The following is an 18,856-nucleotide window of genomic DNA, read 5'->3' as shown; positions in this document are numbered from 1 at the left end:
TTCCTGGCAAGCTTTACACCTTACAGAACTGTACTCGATTCTTACCTGGCCCATTTACTAAGTTTTTGCTTAAAATTGCAGTCAGGAAGTTATTAGCTCCTCTTTCATTCAATATCAGACTAGAGATGGAGTAGAATTAGAATCTGCCTGCAGAGAGCACGCCAATCTAGATTTGAGATTCGGCCAACATCTTCCCCTTATTTGCACTTACTCTGGGGCAGAAACAACTCCATATGGATAAATCCATTGTCAAAAGCCAGTCCTACCCCAGGGAAATTCACTGGAGAGTCATTGATACCAGTACTCATCATGTCCATGTTTGCTAAAAGCTGCTTTTAGCCCCAGGAATTTCTCCCTCATAATGTTAAGTGCACTCTGTCTAAACTCAGGATCACGCCTCCTTTGGCAGCAAAGACCCTTAAAAACTCATAATTTTGTCCCTGCCTTGCACTGCAGCCTCCCTCCTCCAGAAGAGGTCAGAGTATCAATCAGTCTCCTCTCCAGGGAGAAAGTGTTGCATTCAGAGCACCTAAAAGAAAGTGTTGAATTCGGAGTCCCTAAGAGAAAGTGGGAAGAGAGACACCTAAGTCCCCAAGACAAAGGCAGAAAGGATTTTTTGTTGTTGTTGTTGTTTTAGAGACAAAGTATTACTCTGCCCCCCAAGCTGGAGTGCAGTGGTGTGATCATAGTTCAATGCATCCTCCAACTCCTGGGCTCAAACAATCCTCCTGCCTCAAGCCTCCTGGGTAACTGGGACCAGAGGCACATACCACCAACCTCAGCTGTTTCTTAAATTTTTTGTAGAGACAAGGTCTCACTATGTTCCCCAGGCTGGTCTTGAACTCCTGGCCTCTGGCCTCAAGCAATCCTCCCACCAGGGCCTCTCACAGTGCTGGGATTACAGGCATGAGCCAATCAAGCCCAACTGAGTCTGGCCAGAAAAGGGTTGTTGTTCTTTTTCAACTGCATCTCCTCAGGCACCAGAGGAATTGAGGTTTGATTTCTCCTTCCTCTGTTGCAATCCCTACAAAAACTCTAGCTATCAAGCCTTGGGCTTCAATGAGCTTCCATGAATAAGAAACTTAACTGTTTACTCTATTCCTTGAGTTCCTATTACTTTTAGCCCTCATCAAGAAAGTGCAGGGCTGCGGATTAATCATGACTTCCGCCCTGTGTTGCCCCTTCACTGCTGAAGACAAACTTGCAGGTGAAGCCTTCACTCACTGAAAACACATCTGATTCCACCAAGAGCTCCTTGAGTGCCTCCTTCTTGCTCCTCAGCCCTTACAGGACTGCAAAGGGCCTCTAGGACCCCTGTCACTTGCTCTTCCTAAAACATCCTCCCTCGCCTGGATAATCTGCACTCAAACTCCACCCAAGCCAGGTTAATTTCCACTGTGTGGTGATTTGAAAGGACCTATGTGGCGTGTGCGGTGGCACATATGATCTGCACTGTTAATGCCTTTTTATGAGTCTATCCCTCTTACTGGACTCAAGCTGCATAAGGCAAGAGCCTGCTCGCATCTCAGTGTCTCCAACCACAGCCTAACACCTCACCCCACGCAATCAACGTCAATGTTATGCTTATGGACTTCAAGCAAAAGCCTTCTCTTGAGAATGTTTAAAAGACTGCGCCACTGCACTCCAGCCTGGGCAACAGAGCGAGACTCTGTCTCAAAAAACAAAAAAACAACAAAAATAAACAAACAAAAAAACCAAGGCCGGGTGCAGTGGCTCATGCCTGTTATCACAGCACTTTGGGAGGCAGAGGTGGGCAGATCACCTGAGGCCAGGAGTTGGAGACCAGCTTGGCCAACATGGTAAAACCCCATCTCTACTAAAAATACAAAAATTAGCCAGGTATGGTGTTGTGCACCTGTAATCCCAGCTACTTGGGAGGGTGAGGTGGGAGAATGGCTTGAACCCTTGAACTGGGGAGGTGGAGGTTGTAGTGACCTGAGATCGTGCCACTGCACTCCAGCCTGGGCAACAGAGCAAGACTCTATCTCAAAAAAAAAAAAAAAAAAAAAGACTTTGGACCAGATTGAGTCTTGCGTCCATCACATACAGTCTGAAGGAGAGTGTTGCACCAGCAGATGTTTGAGATTGGTGCTTGAAAAGACCATAGATTCTCTATCTGTACTAGGATGTGTCACCTGAACTTCCTCGTACACATTGTAGGCAACAAAATAATAATACTTCCTTATCTTTAAAGTCTACATTCAGAAATCTTACATGAATTGAACAATCTCAGAGACATGCTGGAATGCTTAAAATTCCTAGATCACACCATAAGATAGGTCTTAATATTAAACATGCACATCGGAAGACATAAAGAATTCACTGTTATTAAGCTGGTTATCTATAATTTAACTCTTATCACTTTAAAGTCACCATGACCCAAGGGTGATCACACTGAAACTAAATCACAGCTGAATTGTTGGGTCTCTTGGCAATCTCGTTTTGTCACTGCGTAAAGGTAAAGGAGCCTCAATCGCAGCTAACGTGGGACTGAGGATGACTCTGAGCAAGTCTGATCATTTCATCCACGTATTTCTTCAGTTACCACTGAGAACCTGGAAGATGTTCAGATAGGGGAGATCTTACTCCATTCCTATCTAAAGGGGGGTATGCCAGTCACGTTTATTTCCCAACAATGTGTCAGCACCATGCCTTCCATGTGTCACTGCCATGCCAGCTCTTCTATACTCCATCTTGTCTGAACCTGACATCAACCCTACACGGTAGGGATCATTAGCCCACTTTACAGATGGTCCTCAGGGTGTTAAGTGACTTGCCCAAGGAAACTCAGTTCCTCCGTGTCAAAGCTCGGCATCTGTATACCTTTTCCTCTTTCAGTAGGAATACTTACATAATTGGGTCATTCATGTCCTCTCTTGATGCTGGACACTGGGGAGGACAGATAAATGTCTACATGAGGTCATTGATGCTGAGATGCTGGGGCATATGGGTCCATCTGGGGAGTATATAAAAAAAGCAACATAGCTGAACTGAGACTGCTCCCCTTAGAAAGGCCTGTTTGCAAGGCTGGTCCATGGCTGGCATCTGGGAACTTGGATTTCAGGGCAGTTCTCACCACTCCCTAAATGATAGGAGTGGCTCACCGTGCCTAAAATAGCTTATGCTAAACACCTGATTTCTTTTTAGGAGTCTGGAATTTTGATATGTGGCAGGCAGAGGGTGCCTATGTGACCAGCCCTCAGTAAAAACCCCGGGCACAGGGGAGACTTCTCTGGTATAGAACTTTTACATGTTATAACAAGTCATTGCAGAGGAATTAAGCAAGTCCTATGTGGCTCCACTGTGATTCTGGAGAGCTTATGCCTGGTTTCCTATGCTCTTCGGCCTATGAGCCTTTCCTTTAGTGATTTTGCTTTGTTTATTCAATCCTTTGGCTGTAATAAGTCGTAACTGTGAGTGTGACTATATGCTAAGTCTTATGAGTCCTCCTAGGAAATCATCAAACCCAGGAATGGTCTTGGGGACCTCTGAAAGAGGGAATTTTAAAGAGATCATGGGGGTGTGGCCCAAGTCACAAGAAGACATGGGCTTATGAAAAAAATACATGCAATAATGGAACCTCTAAGGAATGACATCTCTCAATAAGGGTAAGCAGGATGTGGACTTGGAACAGTGGGGTGCACTGGGGAGGACACTGTGCACATGTCACAGGGAAGAGAAGGGAACTACACCTATACAATCCCGTGTCAACATGTACTTCTTTGGCTTGGGTTGGAGGCTTTATTTTGCCTTCATCCAAAATGCCAGAAGACACCATGACCTCACGAGAATTTCCTGGGATTCCTTGCAATACAGTCTCCTCAGTGGTGCCATTACCCCAGCACTCAGGGAAGCCACAGCTTCTACATGGGGAGAACAACCCTGCCGTTGGCAGCACAGGTCTGGCAAAAGGGGCGGGCTTTACAAATGTAAGTTAAATGCAAGGAATGCTAAGCGGGCATCAGCTCCACACGGATGCCAAATGCCCTCTCTTTTACTTTCTCTCTATGGTTTGCTTGGTCTTCAAAATTAAGAGATACACTACTCAATGGGAGAATATGTTGTATATTACAAATGAATTCATTTCGTTTTAAAAGAACAGCAACAGATATTCAGGAACAAGGGCATGTCTGACCATGAAACCAAACAATTCTTTACTTTTTGATTTACAAAGCACTTTCCTACCATCCCTCATTTGATCCTCAAAGCAATGCTAGGAGGTAGATACCACGACTTTTCTGTTATTCTCCGTGACACCTACTCTGTTACAAGACAAGCAATGATGCTCAATGAAGACTTACTGGTTGACTGATCAGCAATGGCCTTAGAAAAATTACTGCTTTTTAAAATTAATGATTCCTGAAGTCTGACAGTGGAAGAATAAGCTAAAAAGCAACCCAGGCATTCAATGAAATTATTAAGATCACAAATTAAGTCATTTCTATGGACTCTATAGCAGGAAATATATTTTTAATGAGGAAATTGAAGCTAATATAGAACAGCTGTCCTGTTACCCAGCAACAGAGTATTAAGGCAGATTAAATTATTAATGAAAAATATACTGGCTCAGAAATTTAACCTCTTAACATCCTCTCATTCACTTCTCTTTAATACGCAGTCTTTAAACTGATATTTTAAAAAATTCCTTTGGTCACCATATACAATTAACATTGATAGTTGGTTCTACTACTCACTAGCTGTGGCATCTTCAGCAAGTTATTTTACCTCTCTTTGCAACTATAAAATGAAGAGAAGAGCAAACTCATGGTTAAGGAGATGAAATGGAGTTAGTAGAAAAAGTGCTGAGCACAGGCCAGGTGCGGTGGCTCACACTTGTAATCCCAGCACTTTGGGAGGCAGAGGCAGGCAGATCACAAGGTCAAGAGATCGAAACCATCCTGGCCAACATAGTGAAACCCCGTCTCTACTAAAAAAACAGAAAAATTAGCTGGGTATAGTGGTGCGCACCTGTAGTCCCAGCTACTCGGGAGGCTGAGGCAGGAAAATTGCTTGAACCTGGGAGGCAGAGGTTGCAGTGAGACAAGATCGCGCCACTGTGCTCCAGCCTGGGTGACAGAGCGAGACTCCATCTCAAAAAAAAAAAAAAAAAAAAAGTGCTGAGCACAAGGCCTGGCTTATGAGTTTTTAATAATGGTAGATATTATGTAAATGCATGAAGATAAAATCAATAAATATTTATTGAACTGATATCCAAAGTGGGTATACCTGTATATATATGCATGAGTACAGCTATACAGGTCCTTAAAATAACAACATACTTCCACACCAGTTAGGAACTTACTGCTGCCCAGAGGCCTCTGTGTGCCATCTATCACCTTAGCTGTCCCAGCTCTTCCCCTAAGAGAAGACTCTTCACAACTTCACTCTCAGACTTCTTCATGCTACAATACCTAGTGTTTACACCTGGAATAGCAGAGAACCTCTGGGAAACTTATATATTGCACTTGAGCAAAGAATAAATATTGTTAATATAAGTCACTGAGAATTTGGAGGTTGTTTTGCAGCAATAGCTGTTAATAATTAATACCACCATTAAGCGATTGTCAATAAGCAATTCAAGAAGCAATGTATAAGTTACTAAAGCAATAACTTTAAAAAAAAAAAAAGAAAACTATGTAGGGAGAATACATGGAAAGCAAAGAGAAAGGAGGAAGATTAAAAGGTGTGTTAACATGGCCCAGACACCATATCCTTGCTGTCTTCATCATGCTTAGTGCCAAATGACAGAAAAACGAGGGGCAGCTGTTTCCAGGCCCGGTATGGGTTGTGTGTACTCACGTTGGTGTTGCACAGCTTGTACTGCCGATAGGCCCCGATGCATGAGATTGCTGTAGATCGGGCAGGCTGAGAGAAGCTCTGAGTTGCCCCATGGGTCCCCACACCGTGGTTGTTGCTTGTTTCTGGGCTGTGAAAGAGACTTGAAGCTGCAGGGTAGCCTTGATCATGGGTCAAAGGTAGCTGGTAGATGGGGGCCTCCGCAGCCTGCAGTCCAGAGCGAGGGCCACTGTCACTTTGGTACAAAGGCCCATGTTGGGGGACCTGGTGGGCTGGTGAACTGTAGCCATGCCTAGCAGAAGATGCTCCCTGGGACCTGGAATGGCGGGATGAGAGCTTCTGTCTCCGGAGCCTCTGTGGCGTGTGTGCAGTGTCTGTCTGCAGTGGTAAGATATATGGGGCCTTACCATAGCCATACTTGCCAGGGCCAATGGTACCACGGGTCCTGCTCCTAAAGAGAGATAGACAAGAGAGGAGATGATCAGAGTCGGATGAATTTCATGTTAACTCAGAAGCTCTGGTCCGTGGTAGAGAGGACCAGGTAGGAACGGAAGCTTGGGAAAGGGTCTATGGTAGAACTGGGAAGCAGGGGGAACGCATTTTAGAAGGCACCATCATGGAGGCTGGAACAGAGGCTCCACAGAAGTTGGAAAGTAGAATGAAAGAGGGAATCAACAGAGGATGAACAGTGGATGATGCAAGTGGTTGGAAATGAGATTAGAACAGTAAACTATGGTCAGCGTGTAATTTTTATGCAAAGAGTCTGGGCATTTTTGTAGGTCACTGGGAGCCACTGAAGGTTTTCAGAGAAGTACAAACATATGATTGCAATTTCAGCCACAGGAAACTTTCCTGTTCACTTTTTTTTTCTAATCATGTATTTTTTGCTCCTTCAACTAACTGTGATATTTCAGACCCTGTTTCCTTCACTATTCATACTCAAAGAGCTTTTCTACGTAATGGAACTTAGATAAGCAACCAAATTCTAGTGCAGTCCCAAGGCCTCACTTGCACTGACTTTAATCCTGAAAATATTCAAGGGCGTTAAATACTTGGCTCCTTCACCACTCTTGAAGTAGCCCAGGCAAAGCAATGGGTAAATGGCCATCTTCACATTGGTTTAGAAGAATTGTCTTGGGTCACACATAAAATACAGTAACACTAATGACAGTTGATGAGCTAAAAAAATATATTGCAAAAAAAAATCTCATAATGTTTTAAGAAAGTTTACGAATTTGTGTTGGGCTGCATTCAAAGCCATCCTGGGCCACATGACGCCCATGGGCCATGGGTTGGACAAGCCTGGTTTAGATCTTTAGATTTTTGTAAAGACCCACTGCCCTGAGGTGGGGTGGGGCGGGGGACGTGGGCAGGACAGGGTAGAAGCCCTGATTTGTAGCATTTGCCCACTCCTATGGTGTAAATACTTCCATCATGGCTGATATCAAGCTACCAATGTGAAGACACAGTGAGCTCTGGTGAGCAGGTAAAAACCAGCTCCAGAACACCACTGCATGAATATTTATTGTGCAACTACTCTTTGCAAAACACAGAGTTAGCAATGATGAAGAAATACAAAAATTAATCATCCATAGTTTTCAAGACCCCAACCTTACAACTGAAAGCAACTAGATCACAATGCAGGGCGGGGTAAGGGCCTTAGAGGCCATACAATAAATGTTGCTTTGGGAAATTCTGAGGCAAGAAAAAGCACTTCTGTCTGAAGGGATCAGAAAAGGTTTCGCCTTCACTGGCATTAGAGTTGAGGAGCGCAGGTTCCAAATCTCTGTGGAAGGACTTAAGTAAGTCAACTAACTCTTACTTACTTTTAAGATGACTGAGCTGGATTAAATGACCGCCAAGGTCGCTCCAACTCTAAAATTATATGCTTCCATAATAATTAATTCTACATTTACGTAAAATTGGAAATGTGCCCAAGGGTTTCTACAGGATGGCCCCATTAAAATAAGCACATTAAAATAGCAATCAAGGTGAAACATTGATTTCTGCCCTCATGAGAAAATTCTTTCTTCACTCTCCACATAATTACTGAACATAAAATTTAATAGACCACAACTAATTATTAACATCTTTATTACTAATTGCACCTTCATTCTTAGCTGATATGGAATTAAACCACGCCACAGTGTTTATTTTGCATTTAGGTCTTTCTCAATTAATCTTGGCAACACTTGGGACTCTGTTAACGATGGGGGTTTTAAGAGATGCAATTAAGAAGTTAGTCATATATATGTATATATGTGTGTGTGTGTGTGTGTGTGTGTGTGTGTGTGTGTGTGTATACACATATATATAAAACTTGGATATAATTTGCCTTTTTCTTTCTTGTGGCAGGCCAGGTAAAATGAATGACATCATGCAAAGGCAAAGGAAAGAATTTCTGCGTATGTGTGTTTTTTTAAGATCTGAAAGTCTACCAAAAAATTTTAGCCTCAAAGTAAGTACTGAATGGAGACCCTAGCTGAAGGTAACAGAGAAATGGACATGTGGAATAGCACTTCTCAAACTTGAGTGTTCACAGGCATCACCTGGGATCTTGTTAAGTTGCAAATTCTGGATCTAGGACATCTAGGGTGCAGCCTGAGAGTCTGCATTTCCAACAAGCTCCTGGGAGATGCCAATGCTGCTGGTCCACAGACCCACAGCTTTGATAATCAGTCATAGAATAAAATAGAAATTCCAAACAAAAGGGTGAAAATTCAACACTGCAAATTACCATTTTTAATGAAGGAAAAATGGCAATGAAATTCAAACCAAAAACCTCTGAGTTTGAGGCAGATACAAAAGATCTGCTGGCCCGGGACAGGCTGCCCTGCTGGAGCTCACTCAGCACTGATGAACCAAAACTGACTTGAGCTTCCTCTTGGGGAGCAGAAGAAGAACCTGCTGTTGGCTGATGACTTGTGTAAACATCTTCCCAAAGGCCTGAGGGGGTAAAATATACAAGCACCAATGTATATTTTTGTATTCATATTGCCTTGTGGGAAGCTCTGCCTAAATTGGAGAACCATTCAAAACCCAATGACAGAGCAACAGCATTGGAAAGGTGACGAAATGAATGCAAATGACCAGTTAATTCTAAAAGACCAAAGAGCATGAGCTACCAAATTGGGTGTGTTTATGAGAGATCTGATTTCTAGGTATTTGACTCAGAACATTTGGACAAGTGGCAGATTCATTCTGGCTTGGCCAGGAGAACGTTTGTTTTCCTTACAGCTGGTCAGAGCTAATAATCCTGACGGGTCTGAATGGCCTCTTCTCCAACAGGACAGAGTCCATCTGGCCGCTTGCAGGGGGGCCTCCACGGAACTGGGGAGATTTATGCAGAGCTATGATAAGTACAGATGTGGCGAGGCGATCTGTGTGGCCAGTAAACTCCTTCAGGAGAATCATGTGGTAGGCGCCCAGGGGAGCTGTTGAGTAGTTCGGCTTAGTCTCCCCAGAACCCATCTCTGGGATTTTACTTTAGGTGCTCCACTTGTCAAAGCACTGGCTAATTTCTGAAAGTTATGTCTTGAGAAAGAAATGGAAAAGGCACAGTTTGCAGATCAGAGATGTGGGAGTCAGTGTAGGCTAGTGGTTCACGACATGGACCCTGAGGCCAGCTTTCTGGGGTTTGAATCCCAGCTCTGCTACTTGCTAGTTTGGAAACTTTGGGTAAGTTACCCAATCTTTGTATGCCTCAGTTTCTTCAAACAGGACCAGGATTAAGATGAGGCCAGTGAAGCAACTAGGATGCAATATTTAAGGAGATAACAGTCAGGGTCGTGGAAGTGCTGGTAGGAACCTGAGAGTAATGTCTTCTTAAATGTTGCACCCTAAGAACCTCCCTAGCTGCACTCCAAGCCCAGTTCTGGCCTTGTATTCATTTACAAATAAACACAATAATAGTACCTTTGTTATAGATAGTTACAAAGATTAAATGACTTAAGAGCAAATGACCTAATGCTTCACACAGAGTATGCATCATACAAGTATTTGCCTTTATGTAAGAAAAGCTCTAGTTTGGCTATTTAATAGCTCTACCAACTTTGGCAAATAATGCACCTTCAGTTTTCTTAGCTGTAAAATGAGAGCATGACCATTTCATGTTCACTAGGATGGCTATACTCAAAAAAGACAGATAATAGTGTGTTGGGAAAGATAAATTGGTAACCTCATACATTCCTAGTGGGTAGGTAAAATGGTGTAGTCACTTTGGAAAACTATCTCGGAGCTCCTCAAAAGACTAAATGTAGTGTTACCACAAGACCTAGCAATTGCAGTCCTAGGTATATGCCCAAGAGAAATGAAAACATACATTTGTATATAAACTTATACATGAATGTTCATAGCTACATTATTCATAATAGCCAAAAATGCAGAAACAACCCAAATGCCTATCAACTGATGTAGAGAGAAATAAAACATTGGTATACCCACAGAGTGGATTATTATTCAGCCATAAGTGCTGATATATACTGTAACATAGATAAACCTACAAAATATTCTAAGTGAAAGAAGTGAAAGAAGCCAGACACATATGATTCCATTTCTATAGAATGTCTAGAATAGGCAAATCCATAGAGACAGAGAGTGGTTTCCAGGGATTGGGGAGAGAGGGGAAAAGAGAGTGACTGCTAAAGGGATGGAGTGTCTTTTTAGGATGATGGAACTGTTCTGCAATTAGATAGTCGTGATAGTCACACAACCTTGTAAATATACCAAAAACTATTGAGTTACATAGTATTTTTAAATGGTGATTTTTACGGTATGTAAGTTATATCTCAATAAAGTTTTTTTTAAGAAAGCATGTTTACTTACAAGGATGTTGTAAAGTCAAATTGAACTTACTGATAGAAATGCATTTTTTAAATCTGAAAGCAATTTTTAATGATTTGTTTCAACAATATTTAACAAACCTTTATTGAGCAACTTCTATGAGTGCCTATTGAGCATCATGTGTGATTTTTTTTTCCACTTGTTCACATTTCCAGCCCTGACAACGTAAGTACATGGAACACCCCCACCCCGCCCCCACACCACCATAAAGTAGGGCTCTATGAGAAGAACATGACAGTGCACAGTAAGGGTTCTAAGTCCAGGTTCCAGGCCCAGTTCATCCAACGGGCGTCTGGGAAAATTGCTGTTGCTATAATAGTTGTTGAGATAATGGCTGCAAACAGCATGTTTTCCTTACAACAGGCTGGCTGCCATCCAGGGCTGGTTATGTGTGATCTTCCACAGCTCTACAAAGATAATGCTAAGCAGTCAGCATGACTCAAGCAAAGTCACTCCATCCAGTCTCCCTCCCTACACACTCACCCTGGAAATGTGTCATCTGCAATCATCACCTGGAACTGACAACTCCCGCCTTTCTGTTTCCTGCCAAGATCCCTCTCCCGAGCATCAACCCCATGTGCCTAGCTAACCTCCAGACTAGAGCCTGAAAAGTGCACATAAGTCACCCGGGGGTCTCACTAAAATCCAGCTTCTGCTTCAGCGGGTCTAGCACAGGCCTCTGCTTCATTTGTAACAAGCTCCCAGATGAAGCTGATGTGGTGGGTCCTGGGACTGCACTTTGATAGCTCCACGTGTCACTTCGAAGTCAACACACTCAAGTCCGGATTGACCATCTTTCCTCCACAAAACTGATGCCCCTCTAGCTCTTCCCATATTCTCTATCTCAGTAGTCCTTAAACTTGAACAAGCATCAGACTCACCTAGAAGACTTGTTACAAAAGACTGTGAAGCCCCACCTGCAAAAACTCCGATTCCATTGGTCTAGGGCACGGCCTGAGAATCTGCATTTTTAACAAGTTCTCAGATGATGATGATGCTCTTGGTCTGTGGGCCACAGTGAGAACCACTGTTCTGTCTTACTCCCAAGTACCACCATCCCCTGAAGACGGCTGGCTCTTCCACCCACCCCTTCTCTCTGCATTCCACCCAAACTCCTTGGCTTACCCACTCAACCTACACAGCCTGGCTCCTGCTGCATCTCTTGTCAGCCCTGGCCCTGCATGGACCACCCACACCACTTGTACCTCCTCAGTAGGCCAAGGGACTTTATTCTCCATGTTTTGACCTATGCTGTTTCCTCCTCCTCAGCTGCTTTCTCCAGCATCGTTTCCCAAAATAATGACCTAGTCACCCTTCAGGATTCAACGGAAGCATTTTGGTGTCAATGAAGTTTTTCCTGGTCCAAACCGCCCTCCAACCCTCTCCTTCAAAGAACTGATGCCCTTCTCTTTTGTCCTTCCACTGGGCCTCATGTAGCTGTCACAGCACAATCTTCTATTATGCTTATTGTTTGCACACCTGCCTTAGTTGACCAGGCTGCAGGCTCCTTCAGGGCAGGGACTATGCCTTATTTCTTATATCCCTATAGCCTACTACAATGACTAGCACATAATAGGTGCTCAGTTAATTGACCCTAGAAAAGCTGAAATAACAAACGAATGGCTCAAACCACTATTGCCAAAGGGAGAAAAATCTCCCCTCATCATTATTGTGCCTGTTTAATTTCTGTTATATGAATTATTATATCTTATTAAAAGACTGTTAAACTATTATGGCCCTGAGGACAAAGCCACCTCCTTCTATGTAGGAACAGAAGTCTCATCTATTGTGTGAGAGCATTTCTGGTATCAAACACCTAGAGAAGAGACAGGTCCTCAGAATGGAGAGGGACCCAGCAGGGGCTAAGACTCAGCCTTTATTTTCAAAAGGAGTGAAGAATTAAGAGCTCAAGAGCTGTCAGAGCTGGAAAGCCACCCAGGCAAAGCTGTCAGCAGCCTGCAGCTATAGGGGGGCTTCCTACCTCCTCTCAGTTTCCAGGACAGAGGGGAGTGGGCAGAGTGAGAGCCCCGCCCTCCGGAGCCAGGCTGTTTTGTGTTTCTTAGGCTCTCCGTGTTTATTTCCATCTTGTTTTCCCTTAGAGCTCAGGCAAGTTCCTTTGAGGGGCCCTGCCTCTCTCAGCTGTGCTAACATGAACCCCACACGGGCCACAGCATCCCACAGAGCAGCAGCCCCGGGGACTGCCCTCGAGGAACCAGAGGAGTGGAGCCCGAGAACCCCACAGTAAAGTGGAACTCCACGAAGGCAGATAGGCAATGAGGCTGACCACCCCTGCCCGCGTGGAAAGTCTCCTTGCACTGCTTAACCTTGAAGGTCCTGAGTTTTATAGCATTAAGAGCGGTGGCATTCCAGCCAGCATGGTGGCTCACACCCGTAATCCCAGCACTTTCGGAGGCTGAGGTGGGAGAATCACTTAAGGCCAGGAGTTCCAGACCAGCCTGGCCAACATGGCAAAACCCCATCTCTACTAAAAACACAAAAAATTGGCCAGGCGTGATGGGTGCACACCTGTGGTCCCAGCTACTCGGGAGAGGCTGAGGCACAAGAATTGCTTGAACTGGGAGGCGGAGGTGGCAGTGAGCTGAGATCGTGCCACTGCACGCCAGCCTGGGCAACAGAGCAAGACCCAGTCTCAAAAAAAAAAAAAAAAAAAAAAGAGAGAGGTGGCATTCCTTGCATCTTGCTACCTAAGTTGAGTTGCTACAGAAACAGAAATAAATTCTTCCATAGGGAAGATGAGAAGGAAGCTCATGAGATGAAAGCCTATTTATTGTTGGAGAAAGCTGAATAGTGGGGAATCTAAGTCCCCGTACTAGATTCTGTGGAGAAAATCTAAGATACTACTGGATTTTACTATGTCTAATGAATAATGTCCATGTGGCTTAAAGAGAGCCTTTATGCCACATTTGCACTTTGAACTGTTACTATATATCAAGGCTAAACTCCCAAGCCAATGTTTTGGGGCAAATTTCCCGGAGACTAAGTATCACAGGGTCCTGGTTACAAATGTGAGGATGCTGCATCTGAGGGCTGCCTCAATGCCAGCCTCCGAAATGTGGACAGATACTCCTCTATTTCTCCTGGCATTGATACAAAGCATTGGCACTTTAAGCTAGGAGAGGGAGGAGGGAGATGTAATTCACAATGACTATCAAGGGAAATGCTTTTTGCCAAAATACTTTCGTATGACCACACGTATCTTTTAAAAAGGTTTTTATAGACATTAAAACAACACTAGGTGGTAGAAATTATACCGAGGAATAGTCCTTCTCAAGTGCCTGTAAGAGCACACAGAGATGTGAGTGTGGGGATCCTCAGTGCAGCCCTGGGGAGCTGGCAGGACACCTGAAACCACAGCAGGACGGCGAACTGAGGAACTGGCCAGTGCACTTCAGTCATTCCTTCTTTCCACACAGTTCTTCTAGAGTGAGACTGAGGATGATAGCGCCAGAGAAGGGAAGACTCAAAGATCAGTATGAGGAGGGAAAAGGTTTCTTTAAATTGGAAAAACTGAGCTTTATCCGTCAAGAGCCAAAGTCTGGAAAACAGTAGGCAGAGGTAGAGCTTACACTACAGACTATGAAGAAGTGTTATGACCTTGGAATGACCTTTCTGAACCCAAGGAAATTAAGAGTTTGACTAGCAGGCTGGATGTGGTGGCTCGCCAGGACTTTGGGAGGCCAAAGCAAGTGGATCACCTGAGGTCAGGAGTTCAAGACCAGCCTGGCCAACATGGTGAAACCCCATCTCTACTAAAAATACAAAAATCAGCTGGGCGTGGTGGGTATATGCCTGTGGTCCCAGCTACTTGGGAGGCTGAGGCACAAGAATTGCTTGAACCGGGAGGTGGAGGTTGCAGTGAGCCAAGATCGTGCCATTGCACTCCAGCCTGGGCGAGTGGAGAGTTTGACTAGCAGGCAGATGAGGGAGGAACCAAAAGGCAGTATTCAGAGATTAGGACAGAATGCAGTGGCCTGGGCTGGGGAACAGTAGAAATCCCAGATGTGTTTAGGGGCCTGAGAACAGAAGGGACTTGCACGCTTTATGGGGAAGCCAGTGTCCAACATAGCACCTGACTAGGATGTGGGAGGGAGGCATCAAGGTGGAGGGGCCCACCTGAGAGTGGGTGGATCACCCCTTTGTGGTTCCACAGAGTATATGGCCCTTGGTGACAGAAGGCCAGGAGGGTACATGCAGAGATTTCAGCAGCAGCCACAGCAAGGGTGGAAGGTGGCCAACAGCTTGAAGCACAGCCGACAGCTTGCTTCCTTTGCCAAGCCTGCACAGGAGCCCCTCACCAGGGGATCCAGGTCACACCTCCTGGGAAGAGGGGAGGAGAGAGAGGAGAGAGTCCTAACTGAGCTGAACATAAACCCTGAATTGATCATGCTTAACACGAAGTGTCTGAGCATCTGAGTCTCCTGGAATTGGCAAAGTTTTCCTTCAGCAATAGAAGCAGAGGCTCATGAACCACATCTAGTTATAGAAAAATAAATTGTGTTCTGCATACCTGAGTGGTGGTTGTAAATTGTAAATCTGAAAGACAATCTAAGTATCCTTAAACAGGAAAATAAGGAGCTAGTTTAATTATGGTGCATTCAGATATTGGAGTACTATGAAGCTGTTTAAAAGAATGAGGCAGCTGTGTATATACTGATATAGAAAGCTCTCATAAACATAGTTAAGTGAAAAAGAATAAAACAGTAAAGATACTAAGCTGAGGACACTAAACATGCTCTCATTTGTGCGTGTGTGTTTTTTTTAAAGAAAAAATGTATACAGTATATGAAAAATGTACACAGTATATACAGAATATATTTCCAAATTGACCAAAAGGAAACTCTGGGCAATGATTTCCCCTGGGCAGTAGACCCAGTGAGGCTCAGTTGAAGCAGACTCATTTGTCATTTCTTACCCTTTCATACTGCTGTGTAAGCAGAGTCAAAAAGAGAAACCAAATCAGTAATCTTAACGCCTAAATATGCAGACATTTCAATTTGGACATAAAATGCCCACTTATAAATACACTGTAAGCCCCAAAGACCAGAGGGACAGAAATAGCTCAAGGACAAAATATTCCTCTGAACTGTCTCATCAAGAACAGAAAAGTCATATACTCCCAGAAAGATTTTAGATCAGCACAGACCAGCATCAAGCTCATACCGAGGCGGAAGCTTCTTAGAGTCTGAATATGCTTGAATCTCATAGCCTGTGGGAAGAAGAACAATGACTTTATGATGTCCAGTCCAATCTTTTCAGTGATGACAAACACCCCAGTGCGCATTCCCAGTAGGCTAAGAGCATCCCCATCTGTCAGGTACCCAAGTAAGGAATCTCACACACTTCTGACTTCCCTCTCCACTGGATTTGTCTTTCTATGCACAGCCCTGGTCATTACTCTCTATTTGAAAGACCCACCTGGCTCATTTCTGCCTAGAAAATAAAGTTCAAACCAAGACAGTTTTAGGGCATATTTGGTTTGATGTCACATTCCACCCTTCATCATCTGGTTTCAGTCTATCTTCCCAGATTCAACTCCGGTCTTCGTCTCCCTTCCCCTGTATCCTGCTCACAACCCTTCCCAACCATCACTAATGACTCACCATTTCCCAAACACATGGGGCTCTTGTGCGGCAAGACTCCCTCCTGGAACCCTACCCTACCTACTTCTGTACTTCCAGCCCAACATAAACACCAGCGCCCATGTGCTTTCCCCACTGTTAGTACTCTCGGGGGCAGTCTGCACACCCCTTTACCACATTAACACTGTATTAGTAAGTTTCATTCTCCAGGGCTATGCTCCCTGTTTCTTATTGGTGTGTGCATGATCCCTGAGACTAGCTCTGAGTCTGACACAGAGGCACCCTGGGAATGTATGCTGAAGTGACATATGGGTGGGCCCAGAGCCTCGTTGCTCAGCATTTGTAACGAATGGGTCAATAAAGGCTACTGCTTTGGATTAATTCATAAGAGACAGAAAGGCTAGGAGTTTCCATATGCAAGAAGTCAAGGCAGCCCCACACATCTGGGTGGGAATTAAAGGGAGCTAGGAAAATTAGATCAGCAGCCAGTGGCTACCTAGAGCGACCTGAGAGCCCAAATTAAAGGGAGGAAAAATGGGAGGGAGCAGCAGCTGAGGACCAGAAACGTGTGTGTTCACCAAGGAGCCGCTTGAGCCAAGGCAAGCTGGGAGGAAGGGAGTGTGCAGCCTCGAGCTGGAAAGAGAGCCCTGTTTTCCTAAAACCCACCCTGTTCCACTAGGATCACCTGCCAAAGGGAGAAAGGATATCATGTGCTAAGTTCAAAGAGCCTGCGAGCAAATGGTTTAGGTTGAGTGCAGATGTCTTCTTAGAAGTTCTAAGACTGAAATTCCTGCCAGGGCTGTTCTGGGTAATAAATTATCTGGTGTCTACAGAAGATAAGAGGCAAAACTCTGACCACTTAGGGAAATAAAAATTAAGAAGATGAAAACGAAAGCTTCCCTGGTCGCCTACTGTGCAGCACACAGTGTCACATACGTTAGCTGCAGGTTTGACTAGATCTGCTGCTGCTCCCCACCATGTGCTGAAGACCCGAGTTTAAAGGCCAGCATGAGAATCAGCTGACAGGTTTGCTCTGAGCCTTTAGGAAAGAAGGACCCCACAGGCTTATGGGGGGTATGGCCACAGGAAGGAATGACAAATGTGTTCCAACAAAGTGAAAAGAGAGAGGTCTTTTCACAGATGGATTCAGGAGCTCTTCCAGAAGTCAAGAGGCAAGCCACCTAGGCAGAGGAAGCAGAAAGGTGGTTTTAGAGTCACTCAGATGTTAAAGGGCTTTTTTTGCACCAGGAAGCCAAGCCTCTAGAAGACCCTATACTCAGTGACCCACCCGTCAGCCTCCCAGGATGTGAGTTCCATGGGGCTGTCCCCCAACCCCAGCTGCCAAAATAAAACAGAGCAGCAACCTTAAGAATAAAAGACTCAGGCCTTCTGGGGGAAACGACCCCAGGAGATGATTTAGACTCACAGCCCCAGATATTGCCATCAGGTGGCTTCTCTTCTTCTAAGATTGTGTTTGAAAATCAGCCAAGTTTCCCTAAGAACAAGCCAACCACAGTGCTCACGGGTGCTGCTGTGCATCAGAGTGATCTGGGTTTCCAGAACTGACCTTCAGGTGCCTTATTCAGTGTGGGCCCGGAGGAGTGGAATACGGACAAGTGAGTGAGTGTTCAAGGAACCCATTTGAGTGCCACAGAAATCAATGGTGGAGAGGCTGCAAGGATGCCACCTACAGTTGAGCAGGTTACTCACTGCACAAGGACACCTGGGAGTTGAAATCCAGTGTGTCCTCCCAGCAAGGAGATGAATCTGACCAGAGGAAGAGGCATCTTTTTGGATTCGCACAAAGGTAAGAAATCAGTCAGTGGAAGTTTAAAAGAGAGATGCTTCCAGCTAAGGCTGAGAGAATATTAGATAGCTCAGAGCAAAGATGATTTTTCTTGCTGTATTTTGTGCTGGGCAAGATATCTCTGAAGGTGAAGAGAAGAAGAGACCAACAGGGACAGAGGTGGTAACATAGGATGGTAGAGAGAGCCCAGGTATTCCATCAGACAGGCCAGATCAGCCACTAATTACCTGTGTTATTGTGGGCAAGTCATTCCACACCCTGTCTCCAGCAGCAAAATGGAGATAACAATGCCTGCCTCCCCTGGCTGTCGCACAGATAAACTCAATGATTCAGGGAAAGCGCCTAGCACAGGGCTTGGCCCTCAGTGAACGCTCTGTAAATGGTAGTTACCGTGACGGCTGCACTGCCCTGAAGGTAAGAGACACAGAGCCTCCAATGTGATATGTGCGAACTGTTGCAGAGGCAGGTAGCCAAACATGGGACTGAGGAGTACGGAGGCGGCTTTGCATGAAAGAACAGTAAATGCATTCATTTCTCCAGAGTAACTAAGAGGAGCCCTCTTAGGAGTCATGCCTGTTGTTAGTATGGGTTGTAATCTGAACCTGTGTGGCCCTCCAGGACTACGGGGGTTAGAGGAGACCAAATGAGTTTACCTGTGGGGTCCAGTGCCTGACCAGGGCAGGTGCTAAGCAAATGGAGATCCTATCCCCTCTCTCCCAGGGACTGTCAAACAGTGCCCTCTGCCCTAGAGGCTGACCCCCGGCAGGTTGAAGGAACCTGAAGAACTATT

At 44.8% G+C, this 18,856-nt stretch overlaps 1 protein-coding gene across 5 annotated transcripts in view; it reads right to left on the bottom strand.

Annotated features, from left to right (window-relative positions):
- THSD4 (thrombospondin type 1 domain containing 4) overlaps positions 1-18,856 on the bottom strand; it is a 686,490-nt gene that overhangs the window by 534,467 nt on the left and 133,167 nt on the right. For 3 of the 5 annotated variants that reach the window (NM_001394532.1, NM_024817.3, XM_047433080.1), the window contains exon 5: positions 5,821-6,268. In NM_001394532.1, coding sequence (NP_001381461.1) covers positions 5,821-6,268 — 448 coding nt within the window. Of the gene's footprint in view, positions 1-2,872; positions 2,978-5,820; positions 6,269-18,856 lie in introns of those variants that run through there. The other 2 variants (XM_017022582.3, XM_017022585.2) reach the window with 2 other exon arrangements.

The sequence above is a fragment of the Homo sapiens genome, chromosome 15 (genome assembly GCF_000001405.40).
Source record: "Homo sapiens chromosome 15, GRCh38.p14 Primary Assembly".
Classification (NCBI taxonomy): domain Eukaryota; kingdom Metazoa; phylum Chordata; class Mammalia; order Primates; family Hominidae; genus Homo; species Homo sapiens.
Note: the sequence above shows the minus strand (reverse complement) of the source record. Positions and strands in the feature narration are given on the sequence as shown.